Raw genomic sequence first — 23,771 nt, 5'->3', positions numbered from 1 at the left:
CTGGGCAACAGAGCAAGACTCTGTCTCAAAAAAACAAAAAACAAAGACTCATCTTGATTTAATGCAAGGTTAAAAGACCCCCCCTTGCCAACTTCCTCATCCCTAAGTTTCTGCTTCTGGGCGATTTCCAGTGTCTGGGTGTGGATCACAGAGGCACAGCAGCCTGAGTGGTGCTTGGACCTGCCAGGGTTTGCAGGCGGGTAGTAGCCTTATCTGCCCAGGAGGTGGCAGGCAGAATCTGAGGAGGATGGCAGGTAGCACAATGAGAAAGTGTGGGGTGCTTTACAGCCTTTATCTCTGTGACCTATACCCTTGGGACCTGGTGTGACTTTTGAGTCACATCTTGCTTCCCTGGAAGGGGCCATGCATCCTACTTTCACTTTTCCCTGGGGTCTTAGGGCAGAGTTCAGGCTATCCAGAAACTAAGCAGATCCCAGGAGCTAATGTTATGGTTTTACAGAACCTGCTGTCCAGAATTTTTTATTTTTATTTTTGGTGAGACAGGGTGTCACTGTCACCCAGGTTGGAGTGCAGTGGCACAATCTTGGCTCACTGCAACCTCCGCCTCCCAGGCTCAAGTGATCCTCCCACCTTAGCCTCCCGAGTAGCTGGGACCACAGGCTCGCCACCACACCTGGCTAATATTTTGTATTTTTTGGTAGAGATGGGGTTTTGCCATGTGAAGCTTCTGAGCTCGGGCGGTTCTCCCGCCTCGGCCTCCCAAAGTGCTGGGATCACAGGCATGAGCCATCCCGCCCGGCCTGTGTAGAATATTTTTTAACTGGCTTTGTGATTATATTCTAGGATATTTTTCATTTCATTTTAAAAAAAGGGAATCTATGGTTATGGTAAATGGTTATTTTCATCCCACCTCTCTCCCCACCGTATACATACCGCTCTTAGTTCTGGGACTTATTCTCTCTCCTTCCAGGATCTAAGCCCCTTCTCCTTCCTTCTCCATCCAGCTCTTCTCTAAGGTGCTACTGATCTGACAGTTCCACTTTTCTTCTTTTTTCTGCTCCTGTAACATCACAAAACTCAGATGTCTTCTTTGCTCCAAGGACCTTATATGACTTACCCCTGTCTGTACCCGTTTCCCTCTTTATGAAGGAGCTAGTCCTGGATTCTTGGGGACCAAGTGCTTGAGAGGTGACAAGCCTTAACAGTCCTGTCTGCAGAGGAGGTGATGGAAGGGCCCAGATAAATGACAGTGGACATGGGTGAGAGGTCAGGAGCAGCGACGGTGATTTCTATGGTACAGGATAGTTCCTGTCAGGGATCATTGCTATATTAGGGCCAATAATAATTCTTTTACCATCTGGCCCATGGGCTGTTGTCAGGATCAAATGAGATAAGATTTCTGAAACCATTTGGTACCAGGTGAAGCACTTTATAATCTGTCTGATATCATTAATTAGCAAAATTACCCATACCCCAACCATGCTGTGGTAGGAAGGACACTGCCCGGAAAGTTAGGAGACCTGAGTCTGCTACCACCTCCCTGATGGCGAGTAGTACGTTTCTTTTGCTAGCAAATTGGTTCATTCATTTGTTTAACACTGACTCTGTGTCAAACATGGTTCTGACTGCTGGGGATGGATAGGTGTACAAAATGGGGCCGGGCATAGTGGCTCAGGTCTACGATCCCAGCACTTTGGGAGGCTGAGATGGAAGGATTACTTGAGGTCAGGCAGGGGTTCGAGACTAGCCTGAGCAACATAGCATGACCCTGTCTCTACCAAAAAAAAAAAAAAAAAAAAAAAAAAGCCAGGCTTGATGGTGTGCACCAATAGACCCAGCTACTTGAGAGGTTGAGGCAGGCAGGAGGATCACTTAAGCCCAGGAGTTTGCAGCTGCAGTGAGCCGTGATTGCGACATTGCATTCCTGCCTGGGCAAAAGAGTAAGACCTCATCTCCAAAAAAGAAACAAAAACATGCCGGGCCCGGTGGCTCACGCCTGTAATCCCAGCACTTTGGGAGCCAAGGCAAGCGAATCACCTGAGATCAGGAGTTTGAGAGCAGCCTGGCCAACATGGCGAACCCCGCCTCTATTAAAAATACAAAAATTACCCAGGTGTGGTGGCGGACCCCTGCAATCCCAGCTATTCAGGAGGCTGAGGCAGGAGAATTGCTTGAACCCAGGAGGCGGAGGTTGCAGTGAGCCGAGATCATGCCATTGCACTCCAGCCTGGGTGACAAGAGTGAAACTACGTCTCAAAAAAAGAAAAAAAGAAAAAAAGAAACAAAAACCTAAGCAAAATAACCAAAGTAGATGAGTTATCCTGGAACTTACATTCAAGAGGGGAAGACAGACAATTAGCAGGCAAACAAACAATAACAATAAAGAGGAAATACTTGGGGCTAATAACGGTGGGTGAAATCCATGAATCTCCTTTTGCTGCCTCCTGAAATCACACTGTAGTGACAGTAAAGAGATCTTTTAGAAAGGAGTCCCCGTAAGTACAGGGAGAACATAAGAGGATACAATACCACCAAAATTTTGCCAGCTGGACAGCAGATGAATGAATGGTAACTGGTGACTGACTTAGCAGACCTGTGAAAGTTGGATCATAAGCCAATAGTGGGAAAAACCAAGATTCAATGAAGTTTCTACTGTAGAATCCACATAAAGCTCATGAACTAGTGGCAACAGGTTCCTCTGGAAATGGGACAAAGGACAAGCTAACATAAGGAAAATAGGCTGAAAATCTTATTATTCTTAGAGACAGCATCTTGCTTTGTTGCCCAGGCTGGAGTGCAGTGGTGTGATCATAGCTCACTGCAGCCTTGACCTCCTGGGCTAAGTGATCCTCCTGCCTCAGCCTCCCGAGTAGCTGGGACTGCTGAGTAGGCAGGCACCACTATGCCACCATGCCAGGCTATTTAAAATTTTTTTTTTTTTGGCCAGGCACAGTGGCTCACGCCTGTAATCCCAGCACTTTGGGAGGCCGAGGCAGGCAGATCACCTGAGGTTGGGAGTTGGAGACCAGCCTGACCAACATGGAGAAACCCCATCTCTACTAAAAATACAAAATTAGCTGGGCATGGTGGTGCATGCCTGTAATCCCAGCTACTTGGGAGGTTAAGGCAGGAGATCGCTTGAACCCGGGAGGCGGAGGTTGCGGTGAGCCGAGATCGCGTCGTCATTGCCCTCCATCCTGGGCAACAAGAGCAAAACTCCCTCTCAAAAAAAAAAAAAATTTTTTTTTTTTTTTAGATACAGGGTCTCACTATGTTGCCCAGACTAGTATGGATCTCCTGGGCTCAAGCAATCCTTCAGCTTTGGCCTCCCAAAGTGCTGAGATTACAGGTGTGAGCCATGGCACTCAACCATTCTTTTCTGGTTTAGACATCATGTCATAGTGCCTTTATATACGTTTTATGTATCTAAAAAAAAGTAGTCCCTTCCCTTCTCTTCAATGTGAGCAGACAACCAAGAATTACCATATATATGATGACAACTTCTAACATAAAATATAGCAACTGACACCAAAAAAGGCATCTTAGAGCAGGGAGATGAAGATTCCTCAGAGAAATCAGAGTGGACATTGCAATCATGAAACAAGGTCAGCATGCTAAGAAGGAATAAAAATGTGCTCAGAAATGAAAAGTGATAGCAAAAATGAAAAATAGAAGGGCTGGAAGATAAGAAAATCTCACAGAAAGTAAAGCAAAACAATGGGGAGAGAAAAAATGGGAAAAAAGGGAAAATTAGAGGGCCGTGTAAGAGGTGCAGTGTCCCCCAAATAACAAGGATTCCAGAAGGAGAGAAGAGAGAAAATGAAGGCAAGGAAACCATCACAAAGTGTTTCAAGAGAATCTTCCCAAATGGAAGGAAATTATTTTGTAGACTGGAAGAGTCCATTGAATGCCCAATGGATGGAATTTTAGATACCTTGTGAGAAAGGTAAGGATCCTGCAGGCTTCCAGAGAGAAAAAGACAGGCCATGGACAAAGGATAGGAGTCAGGATGTCTTGGGAATTTTCAGCCAGACTGGACGCTAGAAGGCAATGCGGCAATGCCTTTCAAGTTCTGAAGAAGAATGATTGCCAACCCAGAATATTCCATACATAGCCCAATATCAACTACACATGAGAGTGGGATAAAGACATTTTCTGACATGCGGGATTTCAAAGCATTTACTTTCTAAAGAAGCTGCGTCAGGGTTGGGCATGGTGGCTCATGCCTGTAATCCCAGCAATTTGGGAGGCCGAGGCAGAAGGATGACTTGAGCCCAGGAGTTTGAGACCAGCCCTGGGCAGGATAGTGAGACCCTCCCCTTTCTATAAACGAACAAACAAAATAGCCAGGTGTGGTGACACCTGTGATCCCAATGCTTTTAGGGGATTGGGCAGGAGGATTGTCTGGGCCCAGGAGATGGAGGCCGCAGTGAGCCATGATTGTACCACCACACTCCAGCCTGGGCAACAGAGCGAGACTCTGTCTCCAAAAAAGTTAATAAATAATAAAATAAGTAAATGTGGGCTATGATGAGGTTTCTCTTCAAATAGCCGATCAATCCTTTATTCTTTAATTCATAGTATCCCCCCACCCCCTTTTCCTTTTGCTCCTTCTTTTTCCTTTCTGCCTTTGTTCCATGCCCAGACACGCCACAGTACCAGGCGTTATTAGTACCAGCTCACGTTCTTTTCCTTATTTGGAAAGAAGACTAGCTCTCTAGCTCACTGCAGACACCCCTTCCCCTTTCCCCTCTCTCCCTTACGTGCCCACCTTATCTAAAGAAAGTTCAAATGTTTAGCCAACTGGGACTAGTTTAGATTGTATGGCCCGACTCCGGCCAATGGGGAAAGGGTACAGGGGCAGGACTTGCATTAGGAATAAAGGCTCTCGTGCCCCTTTGTTCAGGTGTGCTCTCATGGCAACTGGCCAAGGAGAAGCACCCCTCTGCGCAAGTAAAATTGCTTGGCTAAGAATCCTTTGTTTGAGTGTTCAGTTTCCTTAGGATTTGGAGCGTTATTCCCAGCAGTAAATAAAGAAGCTGCTTAAGGATGTAAACCAAGGAAGAGGAAGACAAGAGCAGAGAAGCAAAGAGGCTTTCCACTTAAGAGCTTCAGGTGTGAGCTGGCTGGGCACGGTGGCTCAATGCCTGTAATCCCAGCACTTTGGGAGGCCGAGGTGGGTGGATCACATGGGGCCAGGAGTTCAAGACCAACATGGTGAAACCCCGTCTCTACTAAAAATACAAGAAAAATTAGCTGGGCATGAAGGCACGCACCTGTAATCCCAGCTACTCGGGAAGCTGAGGCAACAGAATTGCTTGAACCCAGGAGGCAGAGGTTGCAGTGAGCCAAGATCAAACCACTGCACTCCAGCCTGGGCAACAGAGCGAGACTCCATCTAAAAGAAAAAAAAAAGAGCTTCAAGCATGAGCTATACACCTGGCATAAACCACCACCCAGGCAGACTGGAACAGGTCAGAAAGTTCCAAGACACATTTCTTCAGGGAGATGAAATCTGTATCCTCCTAAAACCCCTGAAGTTCTTGAGAGGAGACAAGAACATTGACAAAGAGTTTGGGGTTGAATTCGTGGTAAACATGTAGACTAAACACATGAAAAAATAAGGTGATTATTAATTCCAGGGGTTTTGGGAGGAAAGTTGTGCAGGATAAAAAAGGAACTGGCTGGGCGCGGTGGCTCACACCTGTAATCCCAGCACTTTGGGAGGCCGAGGCAGGCGGATCACCAGGTCAGAAGATCGAGACCATCCTGGCTAACACAGTGAAACTCAGTCTCTACTAAAAATAAAAATTATTCAGGCTAGGTGGCGGGCACCTGTAATCCCAGCTACTCGGGAGGCTTAGGCAGGGAGAATTGCTTGAACCTGGGAGGTGGAAGTTGCAGTGAGCTGAGATCGTGCCACTGCACTCCAGCCTGGGTGACAGAGTGAGATTCTGTCTCAAGAAAAAAAAAAAAAGGAGCTGTTATTTACTACAGAGCTCCAATGTCATTAACATCGATGTAGTCACGATTATGCAAACACTGAATATTTTCTAACATAGTGACAATGGGAGCAGATCGGGAAGACAGGGCGGGAAGGGTGTTGTACATATTGGGAAAAGAATAAGAGCATAATCTTCATCTGCCACAGAATAATTTAACAGATGAAACCTTATATTGAGAAATGAAGAAATACAGTAAAATAAGCAAGCCCCTTAAAGGCATGGAGGGATAAATATTTTGCTGACAAGAGGTAGCAGCAGCTGCCTCCAGGAAGCGGTAAGTGACTGTGGTGGAGAGAGAGGGGAAGGAAGTTGTTTTTCACAGTCAACCATTTGATGCATTAAGGGATGTGCAAGTCTAACGGATAAAAATAACAAGTAGACAAAAATAGATGCTATCAGCTAATGATACACCCAGCGAAGTCAGCAACTAGGTATTATGTGAATGTGTCAAAAGGGAAGCCACTTAGGAGTGGTGGAGGGGGAAGTCCTTTGAGGAAATAAAATTTGAGTCACAGGCAGCCTCAAAGAGGGGAAATTCAGCTGGATGAGTACCTGGGGAACGAGGGCTCCACGAAAAGGGAACCACAAGGAGAAGGAGCTTAGTGAGCTGTCGGTAACAAAAAAGGAAGAGTGAAGGGAGCTGGAGGAGGGCTTGGAGGAAGGGAGTAGGGATGAGCTGGGTTGGGTGAGAGCCAAGTGCTAGATGCATCAGGGGCCTTGCTGGCTTTGGGGAAGGCATGGGATTTTACTCTGAGGATCATGAGAAGTATCTGGAGGCCTTCGAGCAGAAGAATGGAATTACAGTTTTAAAACATTTCCATGGTTAAACATGTATTTGGCATCTCCAGTGCGAGACACTTTTCTAAGTGCTTTGGAGGTACAATATGAAATTCGTTTCATCCTCATAATAACATGATGATGTAGGTGCTGTTAGCCCTATTTTTTTCTTCTTTTATTTCTTACTTATATATTTTTTGGGTCAGGGTCTCACTCTGTCATTCAGGCTGGAGTACAGTGGCTCACTGCAGCCTCCACCTCCTGGGTTCCAACAGTCCTCCCTCCTCAGCCTCCCAAGTAGCTGGGACTACAGGTGTGTGCCACCATGCCTGGCTAATTTATTTTATTTAATAATTTCATTTTTTTCTTTTTCTTTTTTAAAATCAACTATATTTATTTATTTATTTATTTATTTATTTATTTATTTATTTATTTATTTATTTAGAGATGGGGTCTTACTCTGTTGCCCAGGCTGGTCTCAAACACCTGGTCTCAAGTGATCCTTCTACCTTGGCCTCCCAAGGTGTTAGGATTACAGGTGTGAGCCACTGCACCTGGCCTTTTTTTTTTTTTAAATCTTGTGAGAGGCCAGGCTCAGTGGCTCACGCCTGTAATCCCAGCACTTTGGGAGGCTGAGGCGGGTGGATCACTTGAGGTCAGGAATTCAAGACCAACCTGGCCAACATGGTGAAAGCCCGTCTCTACTAAAAATACAAAAATTAGCTGGGAGTGGTGGCGCATGCCTGTAATCCCAGCTACTTAGGAGGGCGAGGCACAAGAATTGCTTGAACCGGGGAGACGGAGGTTGCAGTGAGCTGAGATGATGCCACTCTACTCCAGCCTGGGCGACAGAGCGAGACTCCGTCTCAAAGAAAAAAAAAAAATTCTCGTGAGAAAACGAAAGCGCAGCAAGGTTGAGTTGCACAGCGCTAGGACAGGATTCAAACTCAGTACACCCTGCTGCCCCTTCCTGGAGAGCCCTCAGCTTGTCCCCTAGAGGACCAGGACTAAATTCACTGCTTCTCAACCCTCACTCTACTTCACAAGCAACTGGAGAGCTTTAGAAAATACAATGCCCAAACACACCGGCAGTTTTGGAAACTCCTCCAGTGGCTTTGGAGCGCAGCCAGGGTTGAGAAGTGGACGCAGGCTGGAGGCCTGCTCGCATCCCCCGAGCTCTATGCTTCTGTCCTCACACCTTCATTTCTGTTGCAGGCCAGTGGACCCGGGACAACATGGGACGGCTCTTGGTGACTCCTTGGCCTCCCATCACTTTCTTGGAGCCCAGGCCCCTTCTTCTCCCCAGCCACGACTCCTCCTAGAAGCCAGGTTTCTTGCTGGTCTCTACTCTGCTCTCAGCACCAGGCATCTTACCCCACCCCCGATGCCTTTCCTTTCTCAGAACCTCGATGGAGGTCAGTCTCCATCACTCTCCCCAACTTTCTATACCAAACAACTGCACACCGCATGAGTCACGATTCCTGCCCTCTTTTCTCTTCCTCAGTGAAGTAAAGATTGAGAGAGAGTGTGCCTGTGGTTTTGAGAGGGAGTCGGGAATCGTGGAGGAGGGGCCAGAACACCATCTCACTGAGGACTTGCGTGTGTCACTTTGCCACTTTGCCACTTTGCATCGCTGAGCCTCAGCTTTTCTTGTTGTTAAGTAGGGAGAGGATATCTGTTGCGCTTCTTCTTTTTTTTTTTTTTTTGATTTGGAGTCTCTCTCTGTTGCAAGACTGGAGTACAGTGGTGCGATCTCATCTTACTGCAACCTCTGCCTCCCGGGTTCAAGTGATTCTCCTGCCCCTGAGTAGCTGGGATTATAGGTGTGTGCCACCACGCCTGGCTAATTTTTTTGTATTTTTAGTAGAGACGGGGTTTTACCATGTTGGTCAGGCTGGTCTTGAACTCCTGACCTCGTGATCCGCCCGCCTCAGCCTCCCAAAGTGCTGGGATTACAGGCGTGAGCCACCGCGCCCGGCCTGTTGTGCTTCTTAAAAGCCTTTGAGACTCCCTGGGATCTGACACTTGCTGGCTTTTCAGCTGTCACTAAGCTGCAGCCACCCTGGCGTTTCTTTTCCCGGCACAAATTCAGCCTGTTCAGGCCTCGCACAGGCCTGGAGCCCCTTGCTTGGGACATTATTCCCCCAGTTCTTGGCATACAAGATTCCTCCTTGCCATTCTAGTCCCAGCTCAAATATCACCTTTGCATGGCCTTCTCAAGCTCAAGCTGTGTGTTCAAAAGTAACCACCTACTCCCTTCCTGGGAGTCATGTTCTATCCCAGCTCGGTTCTATCGTCTTCACAGCACGTAGCACCAGTGCAAAGGATCCTGCTTATGGGTCTTGCTCTCCCTGTCTGCCCAGCAATGGGAGCTGCTTGAGGGCAGGAATCTTACCCTTTTTGTTCACTGCTGTATCCTTAGCACCTAAAACAGGGCCTGACACATGGTAGGCCTCCATAAATGTTGGCGGATGAATGAAGGCTACGCCGTGGAAACTCAAATGGTGTAATGTTTGCCATGGCACTTTAGAAATTCTCAACTGCAGCCCACATGGGTGAGCTTTTTATTTAAAATAGCTAGATTTGGGAGCAGTGTGTTTACTTTCCTAACTCTGTTTTCTCGAGGCTGGTCGTAGCTCGGACTGACAGATGGCAGAGGACAATGTTTGGGGAGAGGGAACCGGGGTTAGTATGTAGCTTGGACAACCCCTCCTCGGGTAAGCTGCTGGTGGCCAGCTGGCCGTGGCCAGCGTTTGCAGAGTTGGCTCCCCTCCCGCACTGCTTGACCTCGCATCTACTTTCCCAGACCTTTGAAACTTTGCCAAGTGGGTTACTGGATGACCGCTTCTGAAGGCTTAGAGATCTTTGGCCCAATTTCCTGATGGGATGTGCAATTTGTAGATGAGAAATGTCCTCATTTCCTGTGATTAGAGATAAATAATGAAAAGGAAAAAAAAAAGTGGGGCAAAAGCACTTATCCACAGGAGGCAGGGCAAGGCGAAAAGAAGAACTAGCACAGACCCCGCGCTGAGAGGCAGGACGTTTAAGGGAGTGAGGCTGGAATCATGGCTGTGTGTTTCCTCCAGACCCTCTCCATGCCCACTGCCCCCATCCCTCCTTTTCCAACCATAGTATTCATCACCAAGCCACACTGCACCTGAGCTCTGGTTGTGCGGACTGATGAGAAGTTCTGAGGAAGGGGCCCAGGAGCATCTTTTCCAGAAAGGGGAAGTGAAATAATGCCAGGTTCCCTTTTCGTGCTGCTCAGGCCCCCAGGTTGGGCCAGGTCAGATCCCTCCACCCCTGTTTCCTGGTAGCGGCACTAGGCTGCCGTCTGTGTTATTCATTAACCAGGCACTAATATTTCTGTTTACCCATCTGTCATCCTGCTTTGGGGCAGGGGGTTCAGAGGAGCTGTGCAATCATACAGCCACCCGGATGCTTTGGAGCAGGCCCAGCCAGCCACATTTAACTAGTGTTTACTGTATAGGAAGCACTGTGCAAGAGGCTTGCATGAAGCGTTGGTGGGGAAAGAGAAAGTTTTCTCAAGGAAGATGTGATCTGGCTGCCATTTGAGCAGATGTACTGTGAGTTGCATGCAGGGATATGTCTGAGCTCATTACATTATAATAAGAGCCCATTATTAGCATCTCTTGCCAAACCCATGTTCAAGATCTTCATATTGGTAGCAATGATTCCTGGTGGGAGTGTATGTGCCACAGAAATTTGCAAATGCAATAGATCAGGGCTTCCTACCCTTCCCCCATCTATCTATCATCTATCTATCTATCTATCTATCTATCTATCTATCTATCTATCTATCTAATCTATTATCTGTCTACCTACTACCTACCTGTGTATATCTATCTATCTATCTATCATCTATCTATCTGTCTATCTATCATCTATCTACTCTGTTATCTGTCTACCTACTACCTACCTGTGCATATCTATCTATCTAATCTATTATCTGTCTACCTACTAGCTACCTGTGTATATCTATCTATCTCTATCTGTCTATCTATCTATCTATCTAATCTATTATCTGTCTACCTACTACCTACCTGTGTATCTTTATCTCTCTGTCTCTGTCTCTCTCTCTCTTTCTCTATCTCTCTAATCTATTATCTGTCTACCTATCTACTTATCTGTCTATGTAATCTGTCTGTCCTCTCGGTTCTGTTTTCTGGAGAACCCTGACCAATATCCCTACTGATTCTGAAGTCCTGGGGAAGTGAGGACAGTCATCTATGGTTCAGCAAACGCTTCAGGTAGTTCCAATATTTGCTTACATTTAAAACCCCTGTTTGAGCCCTTCACTGGCCTTCTCTCTGGCCTTGAGAGATGCTAAGGTTTTCTCTCTCCTCAGAGCCTTTGCATCAGCAATTTCTGTTTCCAGAATGTTCCTGCGGGCCTTTGTATGTCAACTCCCTTTCATTGTTCAGGGCTCAGCTGAACATCACTAACTTAGGAGATTCAACTTCCAAATGAAGAAACAGGCCGATGTGTCAAGTGGCTTGTTCCCAGGTGATGCAGCAGCTGCTGGCTCAGAGGCCACATATTGAGAACCTCTGGGCTGGAATACTATCAATGGGGACAGAGTGAAAGAAGATGAGGTTGAGGAGCTGAGCAGGGGCTTCCAGGTCACAGAAAGGAATTTGTATTCTAAGAGCCTCTAGAAGTCATTCGAGGATTTGAAGCAAGATATTGGAATGATCTGATTTCCATTTTAAGAATATCATTCTGGCAGCTGTGCCTACCTGAAGGGACCTGAAGGGGAATGTTTGTTAGGATCAAGGAGACCATGTGCATGAGAGTTAAGAAACCATAGACTTCTATGCAAACACGCAGGGTTTTCATCGGGCTAGCAGCTGCCTGAAAAGACCGACCGTGCAAAGTATTTTAGGTCACTAAAAGGAGTTTGAATGAGCTTCTAAGAGCTTCTGGAAGCCAGGTGAAGGTTTGAAGCAAGAGAGTAGAATGATCTTCTAAACCTCCTCAACCTCCCCTTATAGTTTCTCCCATGACCTTGTTTCAGTTCCTTTGTAACTACTTTCCATTTGCCACACTCTGAAATCACCTTGCTCATCTATTTGTTTACCTGTTTTTAAACTATGTTCCCCTACCAGAATGGAAGTCCCAACAGGGAAGATACTTGTCTTTTGTACGCTCTGTATCCCTAGACCCTAGAAAAGTATCTGGCCTGGAGTTGGTAATGAATACATATTTGTTGAACAGGTGATCGACTGATTTCCCAGTGAAGAAATGGGCTGCTATGTCAGGTAACTTGATGAAGGTCAAATGCTTGTAAGTGAGCAGCTACAGCTTCACTTTGAAAGTCTTAGACCAGGTCCAGTGATCGATCTTCTTATAACCCCATGACAACAAAATGACTCTTTTTTTTTTTTATACGGAGTCTCGCTCTGTCACTCAGGCTGGAGTGCAGTGGTGCAATCTCGGCTCACTGCAACCTCCGACTCCCGGGTTCAAGCGATTCTCCTGCCTCAGCCTCCCGAGTAGCTGGGATTACAGGCGCGTGCCACCACAACTGGCTAATTTTTGTATTTTTAGTAGAGATGGGGTTTCACTGTGTTGGTCAGGCTGGTCTCGAACTCCTGACCTTATGATCTGCCTGCCTTGGACTCCCAAAGTGCTGGGATTACAGGTGTGAGCCACCGTGCCCAGCAAAATGACTTCATTTTGTACTTTCCTGGTTAGTAAGAGAAGTCGTGCCCCTAAAGAACCTGAGAATCACCATGTTGGCCAGGCTTGTCTCAAACTCCTGACCTCAGACAATCTGCCCACCTCGGCCTCCCAAAGTGCTGGGATTACAGGCATGAGCCACATCTCTACTGAAAATATAAAAATTAGCTGGGCTTGGTGGTGCACACCTGTAGTCCCAGCTGCTCAGGAGGCCGAGGCAGGAGAATCGCTTGAACCTCGGAGGTAGAGGTTGCAGTGAGCCGAGATCGTGCCATTGCACTCCCGCCATTGCACTCCAGCCTGAGTGATAGAGCAAGACTCCATCTCAAAAAAAAAAAAAAAAAAAAAAGGAAAAGAAAAAAGAACCTGGGAATCGTAGAGTTGGAAGTGGTCATTAAACTGGTTCAGCCCTCATTTGTGTGAGTTTCCTCAGTGTCCTAGGATAGATGTTTGCTACCTTCTTGAATATTCCTGGAAATTGGGGAGTGACTTCTTTGCTGAGATAGTCAGTTCCATTGAAATGGCCATAACTATTTGAAAGGTATCTCTGTGCCTCTTCCACCTGTGGTCTTTGTTCTGTCCTGTGTGGCTCATAGAGTGTATCTTCTAGCCAGGGATGGTGGTGGACGCCTGTAATCCCAGCTACTCAGGAGGCTGAGGCATGAGAATTGCTTGAACCTGGGAAGTGGAGGTTGCAGTGAGCCAAGATTGCACCACTGTACTCCAGCCTGGGCAACAGAGCGAGACTCTGCCTCAAAAAAAAAAAAAAAAAAAGATCTTATCTTGTCCCAGCCAGTGTTCTCTTACTTCCTTCTCATGTGTCAGTGAAAACAGCATGCACTTTAGGCTCAGAAAGACCTGGATTCAAACTCCCTGCCACCTATTGGCCTTGAAAAGTGACCTTAACCCTCTCAGGCCCCTTCTTGGCACAGTGCCTGGTATTTAATTTGCTCTATTATTACGGCTATTACTATTGTTATACAGTCTTAAATCTCCAAAACATTTTGGTTAATTTTTCTGGGCTTGATTCATTGAGCTAGTGTCCTTTTTTTTTTTTTTGAAACAGAGTTTTGCTCTTGTTGCCGCCCAGGCTGGAGTGCAGTGGCACGATCTCGGCTCACTGCAACCTCCGCCTCCCGGGTTCAAGCAATTCTCCTGCCTCAGCCTCCCGAGTAGCTGGGATTACAGGCGCCTGCCACCACGCCCGGCTAATTTTTTGTATTTTTAGTAGAGACGGGGTTTCACCATGTTGGGCAGGCTGATCTCGAACTCCTGACCTCAGGTGGTCCACCTGCCTCAGCCTCCCAAAGTGCTGGGATTACAGGCGTGAGCCACTGCGCCCGGCTGAGTTAATGTCCTTCTTAGAAATGTGTTGCTCAGGCTGGATGTAGTGACTCACGCCTGTAATCCCAGCACTTTAGGAGGCCGAGGCGGGTGGATCACTTGAAGTCAGGAGTTCAAGACCAGCCTGGACAACATAGCGAAACCCCGTCTCTACTAAAAATACAAAAATTAGCCAGGCGTGGTGGCATGCACCTGTAATCCCAGCTACTCGGGAGGCTGAGGCAGGAGAATTGCTTGAACCTGGGAAGTGGAGGTTGCAGTGAGCTGAGATTGTGCGACTGCACTCCAGCCTGGGTGACAGAGTGAAACTCCATCTCAAAAAAAAAAAAAAAAAAAATACAAGAGAATGTGTTGCTCAGTTCTGAACCTGCTGCTGATTAGACCTAAGTGGAATGGGGGTTATGGAGGTAGGAGGAGGGACTTGACCCCAGGGGTGGTGTTTGGACATTGGACCAAATTGAGGACTAGCTAAAACAAGGAAAGGGTGAAGCAGCTTTTCATAAAGCATGCCCGCCAGAGTGCCATGTTTACTGTGGCCATGGCAACACCTGGGCATTACCACCCCTTTCCATGGCAATGACCTGACAACCCAAAAGTTACTACCCTTTCCTTAGAAATTTCTGTGTTAACTGCCCCTTAATTTGTGTGCAATTAAAAGTAGGCAAAAATATGACTGCAAAACTGCCCTGAGCTGCTACTCTCTGCCTGTGGGGTAGCCCTGCTCTGCAGGAGCAGTCACGGAGCTGCAACAGGGCTGGAGCTGTAACAGGGCTGCTTCAACAAAGCTGTTTTCTTTCACCACCGGCTAGCCCTTGAATTCTTTCCTGGGCAAAACCAAGAACCCTCATGGGCCAAGCCCCACTTAGCACACCTGCTCTGCCTCAGTATCATCAACTTGTCTAGACATTATTTCTTTTCTTTTTATTTTTGAGACAGAGTTTTGCTCTTGTCGCCCAGGCTGGAGTGCAATGGCGTGATCTCGGCTCACTGCAACCTCCGCCTCCCGGGTTCAAGCAATTCTCCTGCCTCAGCCTCCCAAACAGCTGGGATTACAGGCATACGCCACCATGCCCAGCTAATTTTTTGTATTTTTAGTAGAGATGGGGTTTCACCGTGCTGGCCAGGCTGGTCTCGAACTCCTGACCTCATGACCTGCCCATCTTCGCCTCCCAAAGTGCTGGGATTACAGGCGTGAACCACTGTGCCTGGCCAACATGATTTCTTTTCATGTAATCCAATCAAATTAGCTTTTGTGGCAGCTGTAATACATCACAGACTCATAGTGCATGTACAGTCAGCTGAGAATCCCAGATTTTTTAAAACATATTACTGCCATGCTATCCGTAGTTGACTACCTACTATGTTATTTCTATTTTTTTTTTTTTTTGAGACATTCTCTCTCTGTTGCCTAGGCTGGAGTGCAGTGGCACGTTCTCAGCTCACTGCAACCTCTGCCTTCCAGGTTCAAGCGATTCCCATGCCTCAGCCTCCCGAGTAGCTGGGATTACAGGTGCCTGCCACCGTGCCTGGCTAATTTTTTGTATTTTTAGTAGAGATGGGATTTCACCATGTTGGCTAGGCTGATCTTGAACTCCTGATCTCAAGTGATCTGCCCATCTCGGCCTCCCAAAGTGCTGGGATTACAGGCATGAGCCACCATGCCCAGCATTATTTCCACTATTTTTAATGTTTACTTATTATATTTCTAATAAGTGAGGGTACATCTGTGTACATGGATTTATATCTTAGAACTACTTAATATTCTATGATTTCTCAGCAATTTTATTCATAGAGTCTTATTTTAATCCACAGAATAATCTTGGGAGGTATGTAGTATCCTAATCACTATGATTTAGAAATAGAGGCTGGAGGAGGTGGCTTGCTTCAGGCCATCCATTTAGTAAGTGGAATGGACACTGAATTCAGGGTTCTTATGGCACCTGTCCAGTCTTCTTTTGAAGGAGGAAAATAGAAAATGAGCTTTCAGTTCAGTGGGACTAATAAGGAAAGGTTTTCTGGAGAAAGTGAATATTGAGTGGATTTTTGTAAGTGAAGAAGAGGCAAGCACCAGAAGATGGGGGAGGGCCAGGTGTGGTGGCTCACATCTGTAATCCCAACACTTTGGGAGGCCAAGGCAGGAGAATCACTTGAGGCCAGGAGTTCAAGACCAGTCTGGGCAACACCCCATCTCTACACAAAATAAAATAAAATAATTAGCTGAGTGTGGTGGTGTACACCTGTAGTCCCATCTACTTGGGAGGCTGAGGCGGGAGGGTGACTTGAGCCCAGGAGTTCGAGGTTGCAGTGAGCCATGATTGTGCCACTGCACTCCAGCTTGGGCAACAGAGTGAGACCCCAACTCTAAAAACAAACAAACCAACAAAAAAACAGGTAGAAGAATGTGGGATTGAGGTGAGGGGGGATGAATAAGCAGGCAAGGTTTTTGAAGAACAAGTTCTTGGACAGATTTGGCTTCTGAGATAAGACAGCGATTCGCGACCCCAGCTGGCCACCTGGGGTGCTTTTTTGAAAAGCTCTCTTGCTGGGGCCCCACCTGCAGAGATTCTGTCAGTAGGTTGGAGGTGGCTCTCTGTATTATTTTCACACCTCCACATGTAATTCTGATGTACAGCCTGGGTTGCAAACTACTAGGTTAGGGGCTGGAGGTCATTTAACTAGAGAGAATGGTCTAGGAGTCCTTATTGTGGAAAAATGAGCTAGGCAGGTAGAACTGGAAGGGGAGAGAGAGGACAAAGCAAGGAAAAGAATGGTACAATATGAGTTCCTTGGGGGAAGCACTTTTTTTTTTTTTTTTGGAGACAGAGTCTCGCTCTGTTGCCCAGGCTGGAGTGCAGTGGCGCAATCTCGGCTCACTGCAACCTCTGCCTCCCAGGTTCAAGTGATTCTCCTGCCTCAGCCTCCTCAGTAGCTGGGATTACAGGCACGCACCACCATGCCCGGCTAATTTTTTTTGTCTTTTTAGTAGAGATGGGGTTTTACCATGTTAGCCAGGCTGGTCTAGAACTTCTGACCTCAGGCGATCCTCCCGCCTTGGCCTCCCAAACTGCTGGGATTACAGGCATGAGCCACTGTGCCCAGCCGGACGCATCTTTTTAAATTAAATTTTTAAAATTGAGAGACAGGGTCTCACTGTGTTGCCCAGGTGGGTCTCCAACTCCTGGGCTCAAGTGATCCTCCCACCTCAGCCTCCCAAAGTGCTGGGATTACAGTCATGAGCCCCTGCAACTGGCCAAGGAAACATTTTGATGATAGGAAAGCTCTGCAGGTTTCTGAGCAGGAGGGTGACATGTTTTAAGGCCCTGTGGCAGACAGATGACTGTGAATCGGAATCACCCTGCATCCTTTCTAAGTCCGGACTCTCTATTCATCCCTCGAAAGACGATTCCGTCAGTGCTCTCACTTCCTTTGCCCACACCACCTCTTTATCTTAAGATGTTTCTGTGGTTTCAGATGCATCACTTTTCCCCTTTGCTGCTGAATCTGGTTCTCTCTCCTATTTTTGCCCTCCCTGTGCTTGCAGCAGTGTTACAAAAATTGTGGACATTCACTTCAGAGTTTTATCATCTTTATTTTCAATTTGCTAGACCAGGTTGCTTTCCCCTGTATGAGGGAGTGCCAATCTCTGATTGCTGGGTACCAAACCACATCCTGGCCTGTGTGGGGTACCATGGAGGAAGGAGATAAGACCCAGACCCCTGGCAGCTCCCAGTTTAGCAGGGGAGACAAGACAACACATGAAAACAAACAGAGCACATCAAAAAGGCAACAGGTCAAACCAATGCAGGGAAACCCCTATCATTAAAGGTCTAAGCCCTGAGGCCTCCCTGCTCATCTCCAGGCTCAGAACCTTTCTGAGTCTTCTTTGACCTCATTTAGTATTTCTCTTCCATCTCTCTCTTGTTGGTTTATCTCCAGGATCAACCGCTAGAGCAGTGTCTAGGTGTTGCTTTGAAGCTTGTATCGAGATTTCTCTAGGACTCTCTGCTTCAGCCTGGCCATCCCCAACTACCAGCCACATCACAAGGACTGGACTTGTGTTAGCTACGCTGCTTCTCCAGCCTGAAGGTGCTTCTTTTTTTTTTTTTTTTTTTTTTTAAATGGAGTCTTGCTCTGTCGCTAGGCTGGAGTGCAGTGGCGTGATCTCAGCTCACTGCAACCTCCAACTCCCGGGTTCAAGGATTCTCCTGCCTCAGCCTCCAGAGTAGCTGGGATTATAGGCATGTGCCACCATGCCCAGCTAATTTTTTTGTATTTTTAGTAGAGACGGGGTTTTCCCATGTTGACCAGGATGTTCTCAATCTCCCGACCTCAAGTGATCCACCTGCCTCAGCCTCCCAAAGTTCTGGGATTATAGGCATGAGCCACCACACCCGGCAGGTGCTTCTATACCTAACTACTTCTTCGTGCATCTCTGACTTATGCTCCTTTGAGTAGGACAATTCAGTCAGGAAGGGATACCAAGCTGGTGAAAGGCATTTTTTTCAAAGTCGCAGTCCTGGGCTGGGTCTAAGGATTTCTGAATCTGGATGGGAGCCTTCCTGCTCCGCCTCTCCCAGGCTTCCCAGCTCCTGTGTAACCCAGGCGACCTCTGAAGGTCCAGGGAAACTGCTACTCTGTAGTGAAGTCCGAACTTGGCATCCCTTCTCCTTGACCCACACCCCTGTCCTCATTTGTCCCCTCTGCTGTGTCTTTGCCTCTGCGTCCCAACAGGGAGGAGCCCTGATTCCGCAGCACCTGCAGCCCTCTCCCAAATGCCCTGCGCACCACTGAAGAAGAGAAATAGAAGAGCAGGGGGTCCAGACTGGCGTTGAGTGAACTGAACACCACGGCTATTGACCGCCACCAGGGGCTTTTTCTCTGGTGATACCCCACCAGGTGGGACACGTTGTAAGGTCCGAAGCACACCAGGAAATTGAGCAGCGTCACCACAGCCAGCCCCACGGCTCGGCGCCGCCTCTGGGCCCCCACAAGGGGCTGGGAGAGCATGATCCACACAAAACGCCAGTAGCAGAAGATGGTGACTGCCATGGGGATGAAGAAGAGCACCAGGCACAGCTCCAGCCGCACGGGCAGCACCACGTCCAACTGGTTATCGGTGAAGTTCTCGTAGCAGGTAATTTCATTGCCACTTCTGACCTGCTCAGTCGTGTTCAAGTATTGAACGATGATCACGATGGTGCAGTGACCAAAGGACATAACCCAGGCCACCAGAGCTGCAATCACTCCATACAGAGGCCGGCGGGAGAGCTTGTACTGCACGGGGAAAGCCACTCCCAGGTAGCGCTCGATGCTGATGCCCGCCAGGAGCCACGTGCTGCAGTAGATGCTGCTGTAGAAGCCAAAACTCGTGAGGGCGCAGACGACCTTGGGCAGGTACCAGCGGAAGTTCGACGCAGCCTCGATGATCTTGAAGGGCAGCAGCAGCAGCAGGAGGAGGTCGGCCAGCGTCAGGCTCAGCAGGAGGATGTGCACAGGTGCAGGCTGGGGCTGGCGGATCCGCCCCACAAAGGCCCGCAGGGCCAGGAGGTTGGCAGGGAGGCCAGTGAGGAAGATGATGATGTAAGCCATGAGGATCAAGGAGCTCTTCCAGTCCGGCAGCATCCTGGAGGGGAACAAAAAAGGGCGGGGTCAGGGAGGTCTCACTCACAGCCCGCGCAGCCAGCTCTCCTTCAGGATGCGGACATCCTCCCCGGCACCGTCCCCTTCCCAGGACTGTGCTTTCTGATGCCACCACGGCTTGCTCACACCACCTGCTCGAACTACCCAGAGCAATTATTGACTTTGCCTGGGGCGGGATATTAAGCAGTAGTGATTATGTTTGCCATCATGTGTCTCTGGAGGAGACCAACTCGTGGCTTCCCAAGGGAATTCCCCCTCCAGTTTCCCTAGCCTTTCTCCTCCTGTCCTCACAGATACAGGAAGTTACTGTTGCCAGTTTCTAACTTTACTCAAGTCCCTTTCTCAGACAGAGACCTGCAGGAGAGAAAGGCATCAGTGCCGGGAGAGAGCTGTAAGATGCTTATCAGTATAAAGAGGCTGTGGCGCCCCAGGCGCGGATACCCAGTGCCAGCTCTCCAAAGGACCCAAGTGCCCAGCCACCAGCCCAGCTTCCTACTTCCGTTCGTCTGTTTTGCAGAGCACAGATTCTCCCCCACCTTGTCCTCTCCTGTCCAACACCAAACTCTGGGACTCTCTAGAAAAGGGGAAGCTGGGGCTGGGCGCAGTGGCTCACTTCTGTAATCCCAGCACTTTGGGAGGCCGAGGCGGGCAGATCACCTGAAGTCAGGAGTTCGAAACAAGCCTGGCCAACGTGGTGAAACCCCATCTCCACTAAAAAAAAAAAAAATTAGCCGGGTGATATGGCGGGCACCTGTAATCCCAGCTACTTGGTAGGCTGAGGCAGGAGAATCGCTTGAACCGGGAAGCAGAGGTTGCAGTGAGTCAAGATTGCGCCATTGCACTCCACCCTGGGCGGTAAGAGCAAAAACTCCGTCTAAAAAAAAAAAAAAAGAAAAGAAAAGGGGAAGCTGGGAGGCTTAGAGGAGGGTGGAGGGGAAGAAGGATGAACCAGCACTAGCCTTAGGAGGAAGGCTTGTCCCTAGAAGACCTTAGAGAAATATTCAGAAAAGCCCACAGGCCTTCACTGGCCCTTGAGCGTGGCATTCTGACCATAAATAGAACTCGTCTTCTTCACGGGGTAACTCAGTTTCCACTTGGGGTGTCACCCTTGCTGGCCCCAACCCAGGTCCTGTCCCTCTGTCCACTCTCCAGCCTTGATTTCCTGGCTGTTTCCTTGCTCCTCACACTAGCTCCTGTCTCTGGGTATGAGTCTTCCATTTGGTTCTGACATCCTTCCTCCAGTCTCCCAGAACCTTCCCCTCAAACCTGATCCTGGCCTCTCTTCCCAGAGCACAAGCACTACACTAGCTGCCTTGCCTTGTGTTGTTCCGGATAGGTGGCTTCTTGGGATTGGTTCTGAAGGGAGGTCTGCAAGCTTCCAGGAGAGAGGAACAGAGCTTTAGCCCCTGCTTCTGTCCATGCCATGCAGGAAAAAATGGTGAGGAACCTGGCTGGTAGTAAGCATTTATACTAGCACCAGCCACGTGACCAGAGAAAGGAAGGTCAGTCTTTAAGCACTATTTCCTCTCAAACCCAAAGGAAAGGCCCAGCATCTTTATTCTCTCCCTAGAGAATCCTCACTCTTGACTTCCAAATTCAGATTTTTCTGTCCTTAATTCCTGATTTAAAAAAAAAATTCCCAGGCATTTTTCTTTTTTTACTTCCCAAGTCAGATTATTTTCTTTTCTCTTTCTTAGGCAGTTTCTTCTGTCATTCTGCTCATTCTCAGAAATGAGCTTTCCTCCTTCCTTTTTATTTTTCCTCTTTTTTTTTGGTTTTTTTTTTCGAGGCTGAATCTTGCTCTGTTGTCTAGGCTGGAGTGCAGTGGCGCCATCTCAGCTCACTGCAACCTCTGCCTCCCGAGTCCAAGCGATTCTCCTGCGTCAGCCTCCCTGGGATGACAGGCACCTGCCACCACGCCCAGCTAATTTCTGTATTTTTAGTAGAGACAGGGTTTCACCATGTTGGCTGGTCTTGCACTCCTGACCTCAAGTGATCCGCCTGCCTTGGCCTCCCAAAGTGCTGCGATTACAGGCGTGAGCCACTGCACCCGGCACTCCTTCCTTTTCTTCTTCAATTTTTTTACTTTCTCTATGGTCTCCTGCCCTCTGCCCCCAACACATTTCTTTTGCCCGTCTCAGCTGAAACAGGCTGGTCCTGGCCTGCATCTTGTTGTGATGGAAATGGTGTGGGAGTTATAGTCATGCAGATATGGGCTCAAATCCAGGTCCCTTCATTACAACCTTGGGGGCAGATCCGTTTTCTGAAGTCTAGTTTGCTGTAGTCAAGTGAGCATGCGAATTCTGACATCCTAGGACTTCTGCGAGGATTCAGTGAGGTTGTGTATATAAAGCACTTAGCAGATGCCCGTAAGTGCTGCCTCGTCTCAAGCCTGTAACGCAGCTTCACAGAGAGTGAGCCACTTGGTGCAGCCTCCAGAGGCTCAGGGCATGGATGTGCTGTCCCTCTTGGGAAAGTGTCAGGAATTCAGGAGGCCCGAGTTCACGTGCCCATGTGGCTTTTCGTCAGGGAGTGGCACTCAGGCTCCATTCCTTTCCCTGATAAAGTCTCACTGTTTCCCCCTCTCTGACCTTGGTAGCCCCAGGTTAGGAGCTCCTGAAGGTCCCTTTGAAATACACACCTAATGCAGCAAGGATCGTTGGAACGTGTTTTCCTCTTGAACTAGGGAGGAAGTCTCAGAAAGAAGTCTCTGTTCTGCCATCTGTGGCCTGATTCCTGCTCACAGAATCCCCATTCTTTCCCTAGGACATACCTACTTCCTATTGTTTGCCATTCATTCAGTCATTCAGTCAGTCAGTCATTTATTCTTTTTGTGGTCTGTAACCCCAGGGTCTAGACATTTTGATATTTAGCTTTTCTTTCTCGTCCACTCTACTCTCCTCTGAAGGCGTTCTAGTTCTTTATTTCCTTCCCCCAGCACACGTCGCTTCTCAGATCAACAGGAGAACTAAGAAAGAGACCATTCTCTCTTGTTGCCACCAAATTTATTTGTGTCATTTCGCTTTTATGATTTCCTATAAACATGCACGAGGATCTGGATTTAATTGCAGAATCCAGGAAACTCATTGGAAAACAAGTGTTGAGGAGTGGGACTGCCTCTCTGTCTCTGCACGTTCTTCTCCCCCCACCTCCTGCCTTTCGCCGTCACTGTCGTGAGTCCCCCTGTGGAAGACGCCCCAACGAAACCCCCTCTCTGGGTTCACAGCAGTTATGAATGTTCACCGCAGTTATGAAGGGAGCATCACCAAGGAGGCTTTCAGTCTCACAGTTCATGATGTCCACCTACGTCACAGGAAAAGGAAACCCAACCTCTCAGACCGAGTTCAAGGGGGTAAACTTTCACAAGAGCAATATCCTTCACAGTTCCTTCCAAGTTCAGTTTTCTCTCATCGTCTTTATAATGCAGCCTGTCATCACAGGAAGTTGGACCCTTATCTAAAGTTCTGTGTAATCACTTCCACATTCTTAATTCTCACTCGCCCCTCAGTCCACCCTAATCTGGGTTCTGTGCCTATTTTCCATGGGATTTTCTCTTCCCGATGTTAGCAGTGACCTCCATGTTCCTAAATTCAGTGGACTTACGCTTTTCTTATTTTATTAGCATTCAACACAATTTCCACGCCCTTCTGGAAACATCCTCTTTTCACAAATTCTGATACGTTACGCTGCTAGCTTCCCTCTCTTTCCTTTGGTCACTTCTCGTACCCCTTTGCTAGCTCACCATTCCCCTACTCATCCCCGAAATGGTGACTTCCTTCAAGCTTGGCTCCAGGTTCTTTCCTGTTCTCGCCTGTGCTCTCCTTCTAGTCGACTGCAACTGTTTCCGTAGTTCCAGTTACCACCTTCATGACACCCCTGGTTTGAATCTTCACCCTAGGTTTCTGTGAGCTTCACATGTACACGCTCAACTGCCTAGTTGACACTGCCATTGGGTGTCTCACAGGTGTCCCAAATCAACCAAATCAAATGTGTCCAGACCTGGCCTCAGATCTTCCTTCTTCCACCCTTCCCTGTCTTGGGGCGTAAGATCTCTTCCCATCACATCTCCTGCACCATTATCTTAGAGTCAGTCTTTTTTTTTTTTCTTTTTAATTTCGAGACTGAATCTCACTCTGTCGCCCAGGCTGGAGTGCAGTGGCACATAGTCTCGGCTCACTGCCACCTCTGCCTCCCAGATTCAAGCAATTCTCATGCCTCAGCCTCCCGAGTAGCTGGGATTACAGGCATGTGCCACCACACTCGGCTAATTTTTGTATTTTTAGTAGAAACGGGGTTTCACCATGTTGGTCAGGCTGGTCTCGAACTCCTGACCTCAAGTGA

The 23,771-nt window shown here is 48.0% G+C and overlaps 1 protein-coding gene across 5 annotated transcripts, besides 5 other annotated features; it reads right to left on the bottom strand.

The window, feature by feature from the left end:
- Positions 1–574: an enhancer, noted in NCBI's record as "H3K27ac-H3K4me1 hESC enhancer chr19:35959455-35960028 (GRCh37/hg19 assembly coordinates)". NCBI's record gives its function as "activates a minimal SCP1, AML or CMV promoter by ChIP-STARR-seq in primed H9 embryonic stem cells {active_cell/tissue: H9 hESC(primed)}" and the evidence as "EXISTENCE:reporter gene assay evidence [ECO:0000049][PMID:30033119]".
- Positions 8,569–8,688: an enhancer, noted in NCBI's record as "active region_14481". NCBI's record gives its function as "activates an Ori minimal core promoter by ATAC-STARR-seq in GM12878 lymphoblastoid cells {active_cell/tissue: GM12878}" and the evidence as "EXISTENCE:reporter gene assay evidence [ECO:0000049][PMID:35858748]".
- Positions 10,112–10,291: a silencer, noted in NCBI's record as "silent region_10526". NCBI's record gives its function as "represses an Ori minimal core promoter by ATAC-STARR-seq in GM12878 lymphoblastoid cells {active_cell/tissue: GM12878}" and the evidence as "EXISTENCE:reporter gene assay evidence [ECO:0000049][PMID:35858748]".
- Positions 11,843–11,972: an enhancer, noted in NCBI's record as "active region_14480". NCBI's record gives its function as "activates an Ori minimal core promoter by ATAC-STARR-seq in GM12878 lymphoblastoid cells {active_cell/tissue: GM12878}" and the evidence as "EXISTENCE:reporter gene assay evidence [ECO:0000049][PMID:35858748]".
- FFAR2 (free fatty acid receptor 2) lies at positions 17,360–20,870 on the bottom strand. Of its 5 annotated transcripts, NM_005306.3 has the most exons (3): positions 20,748–20,870; positions 20,182–20,304; positions 17,360–19,413 (listed from the first exon to the last, which is right to left on the bottom strand). In NM_005306.3, the coding sequence occupies exon 3, from the start codon at positions 19,410–19,412 to the stop codon at positions 18,420–18,422; it is 993 nt and encodes a 330-aa protein (NP_005297.1). In that variant the 5' UTR covers position 19,413; positions 20,182–20,304; positions 20,748–20,870; the 3' UTR covers positions 17,360–18,419. The 5 variants fall into 5 exon arrangements, with proteins under 5 accessions (NP_005297.1, NP_001357016.1, XP_047294655.1 ...); NM_001370087.1 differs by lacking the exon at positions 20,182–20,304; XM_047438699.1 differs by lacking the exons at positions 20,182–20,304; positions 20,748–20,870 and adding an exon at positions 19,927–20,085.
- Positions 22,834–22,913: an enhancer, noted in NCBI's record as "active region_14479". NCBI's record gives its function as "activates an Ori minimal core promoter by ATAC-STARR-seq in GM12878 lymphoblastoid cells {active_cell/tissue: GM12878}" and the evidence as "EXISTENCE:reporter gene assay evidence [ECO:0000049][PMID:35858748]".

This window comes from Homo sapiens, chromosome 19 (genome assembly GCF_000001405.40).
Source record: "Homo sapiens chromosome 19, GRCh38.p14 Primary Assembly".
In the NCBI taxonomy this organism is placed as follows: Eukaryota; Metazoa; Chordata; class Mammalia; order Primates; family Hominidae; genus Homo; species Homo sapiens.
This window is presented reverse-complemented; position numbering and strand designations above follow the sequence as displayed.

Coding starts and splice junctions, on each gene's coding strand:
- FFAR2 (NM_005306.3), bottom strand. CDS start 19,412: ATGCTGCCGGACTGGAAGAGCTCCTTGATCCTCATGGCTTACATCATC.